This window comes from Homo sapiens, chromosome X, assembly GCF_000001405.40.
Source record: "Homo sapiens chromosome X, GRCh38.p14 Primary Assembly".
NCBI classification, from domain to species: domain Eukaryota; kingdom Metazoa; phylum Chordata; class Mammalia; order Primates; family Hominidae; genus Homo; species Homo sapiens.
The window spans coordinates 154,343,556-154,348,530 of NC_000023.11; the positions used below are offsets into that span (position 1 = coordinate 154,343,556).

Below are 4,975 nucleotides of genomic sequence, written 5' to 3' on the forward strand. Positions count from 1 at the left end.
AGGCTCTGGGAGGGCTCTCGGGGAGCCAGGACTGTGGCTCAGGGTCCCTCTCAGGCTGCGGTCAGGTGTCCACTGGGGCCCAGCCATCCTATCTGACTGGGTGGGGAGCCCTCGTGATGACTCTCCCTCTGGAGGCTGTGGCAGGAGGCCTCAGTTCCTCCCCACCGGGCCTCCTCCCCAGGGCTGCTGGGCTTCCCCCGGACCTGCAATCCAGTCGAACCAGCAGGAGAGGGCGCCCCAGACCCGGCCACAGTCTCTTCATGGCCTGGTCTCCTAAGTGACTCGCCTCGCCTCCGCTGTGGTTTTTATTGGTCTCACAGGTCCACCCTGGCGCGTGCTGGAGAGGGCGCCACGCTCAGGGTGGAGGCTGTTCCTGAGTGCTGCGAGTCAGAAGCACCCTTGCACGTGTAGACCTGCGTCGGCTGCTGGAGATCCCGAGCGGGCCGCCTCAGGAACATGTCCTTGGTGTCAGCGGGAGCAGCAGGCCACCTCCTGGGGCTGACACTGGCCGGGGCCTGCATTTCTGAGGGCGGGGCGTGCTTTGACATCCTGAAAGGGTTGCAAAACCCATCACAGAGAACCCCAAGAAGGGAGACTCTGCCACCGAGACCCCGTGTGCCCCGCAGGGTCTGCGCCGTGTGCTCTCTGGCTCTTCATGGAAGCCTTTCCCAGCCCTGGTCGGGGAGCCCCGGTCCAACATCCCCAGGAGCCGGTGGGAAGCCCGTTCTGGTCTGCATGGCATGAGTGCCCCACGCCAGCCCGGGTGGCAGGATGTGCCCCCCACCTCCAATGCCCCCCTCCCAGGGGCTCATTCCTGCCCCTGTCCCCTCTCTGCCCCAGGTGGGGCAGCCTCTCTCTGCAGACAGGGGAGGCCTCTCCTCCCCGCATGCAGCCCTGAAGGGGAGGGGCCGGGGCAGGGAGGGGGTGTGCCGCGTCGTCATGGTGAAGGCAGAGCAGCTCCTTTTCTCCGTGATGTGTCAGGTTGCCGGATACTGGGCTCCGGTCCCTGGCCTGGAGGGTGGGATGTGGAGGGCCAGGTGGGTCCTGGAAGGAGCTTTCCACTGGGGCCCCAGGAAGACCTTGGTGTCTCGTTTCCCTGGAGACGTGCCCCATCCTTCCCACTGGGACTGGCAAGTGACTTGCTGATGACGCTCTCCGTGGCTCTGAGTTTGTCACAGAGGTTCCGTGGGCGGTGAGTGCTTTTCCTGTTGGCCCGCGCCGCCTCTGGGCAATGCGGGGGCCCTTGGTGACAGCTCCTGGCCCCTTCCAAAGCCGCCTGGCCCTTCTTGAACCCGACGAGAGCAGGTTGCCGGGCCTTCCCTGAGGAATGTGTTCCTGGCAAGTGGGGACAGCCCCTCCCCCAGGGTGTCGGGTACAGGGTCCTGGGGTGCTTCAGGACACGGTCAGGCCCACCGACCCCCCACACTCCTGGGCCACCTGCCTGCTGGCTGTCCTCTGTGACCCTCTCTCCCCTGAGCCGAGGTGCCGGCCCGATCCCGCGGGAAGAACAGCGAGGAGGGCCGGCTCTCCCTGCTATGGGGGCCTCGGGGGCCTGGACGGGGACTGTGTCCTCCCTCCCCGGGCTGCCCGGCGCCCTCGCTCAGGGAGTGCTCTCCTAGCGACCTGTTCGGCAGATGGGCACAGCCACGACAGCAGCCAGACCCTGTCCCGGCCCATGCACCCACCTGGACGGATCGGCGCCCTCCTGGACTTACTGGCTCCATTGAGGGTCCCAAAGGAGCTGCCCCAGAGCACCCTAGGGGCGTCCGGACCCCTCGGCCCGCAGCAGCTACCAGCAGCCCAGGCAGGACCCAGGGGCTTCCGGGCACAGAGGCGCCGCTCCCTGGCTCGTGAGCCCAGGGCCTCTCCAGCCGTCCCCTGTTGGGGGCCTCCACTCCTGCTCTGGATCAAGGTCCTGCCCCTAGGGAGAGCTGGTGCCTTCGGGGGAGCGGGCCCTGGTTGCAGTTGGAGAGTGGGTCCAGGGATGGTGTTCTGCTTGGCTGCCGCCCTGCCTCCTGGGGGCCTCCCCAGATCCCCCCCGGCTGCTGTCAGCTGGGGCTGAGGGGTCCTGTGGCCTAGGGGGCATCCTGGTTCGGGAGTGCCCTGCCCTGGACACCGTGTCCAGGAAGGATACATGCTCACCCTTTGTTGGGGGCCAGGCACAGGGTGAGGGGGCACTCGGCCCCACCACCCGTGTCTCTGGGAACCCTGGCTGGGTACGGCCCCTCTTCCGAGAGATCCTGCCCGGGACTGGTGCCGCCTGCCTCGGGCCTGCCCCCCACACAGTTGGGGACCCTGGCGGGGCACCTCCTGCCAGCCACCTGCTGCTGTCCTAGCCTCAGCCGGGCCCTGCAAGCTGTCCATGTGCCTGGGACACCCGGTCCCTCTGCAAATGTTTGCAAACACCCCTGCCCCCACAGGCATGTCTGGGGGCCTCTCTGGGCCTTTGTGTGCCGAGTTGGGCGTGGGTGGCGGCGGGGGTCTTTCCATAGTCACCTACTTCCTGTCCTCCTCGGCCCCAGGTCCAGCGGTGCCCTGTCTGCTCGGTTTCCAGCCTGAGCCCTTTCCTGAGCTGGCCCGGTCCCCTAAGCTTCTGCAGCAGGTTCCCAGGTCCACCCCGAGGGACTCCTGGCCAGTGTTCCCAACAGTGTCTGAGTGCTGGCCTCAGTCCCTGGCCATGGATTTTGGGGAACCCCGCTCTGAGGGGCCGTTGCTTCCCTTTCCTCTCCAGGTCCCCTCCCAGTTTCCTCGGAGAGCGGGGATGGGGCTGTTGGGAGGCGGAAGGGAGGGTTGGGGTGCAGAGGTGTGGCTTGGGGGAGGGAAGGTCAACTGGGCTACCGCCCCTCCCTGCCCTCCCTGGACTCAGTCCAGACACAACCTGCGGGTTGGAGGCCTGTGCACCCTTTATCTCCTCCTAGTAGCCTGGCGGGTCCTCCTGGGTCTTCCTCAGTGTGTGTGAGTCCCCAGGCCATAGGACCCGGCAGGGTGGGGGCCCGTGCTCTGCTCTTGTTTTTGCTCCTACTTGCCCGCCCTTCCCGGGGGGGGCCCTGGCCAGGACCGTGCCAGTCTCTTTCCCTGCTGCCTGCCTGCCTGCCTGGGTGGCCTCCAGCTCACCACCCTGTGAGGCCTGTGGCCTCCCGCCAGGGCTGTCCTCAGGGGCCCGGATCCCCCTAGTTTATCTTCTGCCCTTGCCGCCCCACATGTGTCCCTCCCTGCAGCCTGGGGACGATCGGCAGGTTTGGGGGACCGGTGCCCTTGGTTCACCTAGCCCAGCCCTAGGGCGGTGGCCCTGCCAGGCATGGGGCTTGAGAGGGGATGTGATGGAGCAGACACAGGGAGGGGGCAGGAGACCCTGGGTGACTCGGGACAGGAGGGAGTGCCCCAGAGGTTCAGAATCCTGGGCACACAGTGGGCTGAGCGGACAAGTCGCAGCCTCAGGGGGACCTCCCGTCCTCCCAACTGGCACTGCATCTTTCTGGGCCTGGCTCTGCTGCCTCACAGCCCCGTTCAGCTGGTGGCTTTTAGAGGCTTCCAGAGTGTGCTTGGCCCCTTTACCTCTATGCCATTGGGCCCAGGGGGAGCAGTAGAGTGGCTGCGGCTGGGGGTGGGACTTCCCCTTTCTGTGTCTTGCTTGCCCCGTGTCTCCCAGTGAGTGGCCGCCCTGAGCCTGGGGCCAGCAGCCCAGCCCCAGTGAGAAATAAAAGTAGCCATCCTGCCTGAACTGCCGCTGCCTTTTCTACTTTGCCCTCTCAACAGGGGTCAAGGAGGGTACGCGTGGTGTTGAGGTCTCAGAAGGTCTGGGTTTGACGTGTGCCATGGCTGCAGGCTACGGCCTGGTCGTGTCAGACGCTGTGGAGCTGAGGGAGGATGTGGCGAGAAAGCTGAGCGTTGCCCCCGAGAGCCTTGCTTCCTGGCCCTTGTCTGCAGATGTCTGAGGTGGTGGTGTCCTTGTCAGGGGTTTGATCGAGGGCCAAAGCCTTTGGCCCAGGGAGCAGGCAGCTTTGGGTGCTGCAGTTGGGATGTCCCGATAGCATGCAGGCAGCACCAGGAGCCAGGACGACTTGGGATGTTATGTGTTTGGGGGCAATCTTTACAGTGGGAGACACATAGGTTGGTGTGGGAATCCACGGCAGGGGTACCAATGAGGGGATATTCAGCAGGGGGCCCAGGGTACCTGGGATTGGCACCTTGAATGCATCCACCTCCTGCCACCTGTTAACTAAAGGGCCCTGAGGCCCAGAGCCTGGGGGAGGGGGCCTCATCCCAGTCCCTTGTTTGGGGGAATGGTGGCATGGTGGCATGTTCAAGTTACCTGGCAGATGGCCAGGGCCTGCTGTGATTTTTTTTTTTTTTTTTTTTTGAGACAGAGTCTCGCTCTGTCGCCCAGGCTGGAGGGCAGTGGCGCGATCTCGGCTCACTGCAAGCTCTGTCTCCTGGGTTCGCACCATTCTCCTGCCTCAGCCTCCCGAGTAGCTGGGACTACAGGCGCCCGCCACCACACCTGGCTAATTTTTTGTATTTTTAGTAGAGACGGGGTTTCACCGTGTTAGCCAGGATGGTCTTGATCTCCTGACCTTGTGATCTGCCTGCCTCGGCCTCCCGAAGTGCTGGGATTACAGGCGTGAGCCACCACACCCGGCCGGGCCTGCTGTTGATTATCTGGCCACCTCCACCAGGGAGCCTTCCTGACACCACCCTACCCAGTAATGGGCTCTCCTGCCCAGCTCTTTGCCTCCTTGCTGCCTGGGCTCCATTCCAGGTTGCTACATGTTCCTCTCCTTACGTTGGCTTGAACTCAGGGAGGCAGAGGAAGCAAAGATAGATGGTGCCTTCTGGAGTCAGGGTGGGGTGAAGCAGGAGCCCTGGAGGGAGGTGACCTGTGCTCAGCCCATGCTTTGATCTGCTCATTGGCACCCCTGTCAGGTTGGCCTTGACTGGTCCCCCAACCCCAACAAAGCTACAGCCACGCAAAGGA

At 64.5% G+C, this 4,975-nt stretch overlaps 8 annotated features.

Annotated features, from left to right (window-relative positions):
- Positions 1-3,691: part of a non allelic homologous recombination region, noted in NCBI's record as "proximal repeat sub-region recombines with the distal repeat sub-region within the Xq28 distal FLNA-EMD recombination region, resulting in an inversion", that runs on past the window's edge. NCBI's record gives the evidence for it as "EXISTENCE:Southern hybridization evidence [ECO:0000078][PMID:9140403, PMID:9384614]".
- Positions 1-4,975: part of a biological region, named in NCBI's record as "Xq28 proximal FLNA-EMD recombination region", that runs on past both edges of the window. NCBI's record gives its function as "recombination_partner: LOC107988033".
- Positions 1,796-4,975: part of a meiotic recombination region, noted in NCBI's record as "meiotic double-strand break mapped by DNA meiotic recombinase 1 chromatin immunoprecipitation followed by single-stranded DNA enrichment and sequencing in the germ cells of some male individuals with the PRDM9 A/A and PRDM9 A/B genotypes", that runs on past the window's edge. NCBI's record gives the evidence for it as "EXISTENCE:chromatin immunoprecipitation-seq evidence [ECO:0000229][PMID:25395542]".
- Positions 2,843-2,855: a nucleotide motif, noted in NCBI's record as "nucleotide motif; similarity to the predicted 13-mer PRDM9 A binding motif (LD hotspot motif), CCNCCNTNNCCNC".
- Positions 3,756-3,768: a nucleotide motif, noted in NCBI's record as "nucleotide motif; similarity to the predicted 13-mer PRDM9 A binding motif (LD hotspot motif), CCNCCNTNNCCNC".
- Positions 3,939-4,078: an enhancer, noted in NCBI's record as "active region_30056". NCBI's record gives its function as "activates an Ori minimal core promoter by ATAC-STARR-seq in GM12878 lymphoblastoid cells {active_cell/tissue: GM12878}" and the evidence as "EXISTENCE:reporter gene assay evidence [ECO:0000049][PMID:35858748]".
- Positions 4,109-4,198: an enhancer, noted in NCBI's record as "active region_30057". NCBI's record gives its function as "activates an Ori minimal core promoter by ATAC-STARR-seq in GM12878 lymphoblastoid cells {active_cell/tissue: GM12878}" and the evidence as "EXISTENCE:reporter gene assay evidence [ECO:0000049][PMID:35858748]".
- Positions 4,278-4,290: a nucleotide motif, noted in NCBI's record as "nucleotide motif; similarity to the predicted 13-mer PRDM9 A binding motif (LD hotspot motif), CCNCCNTNNCCNC".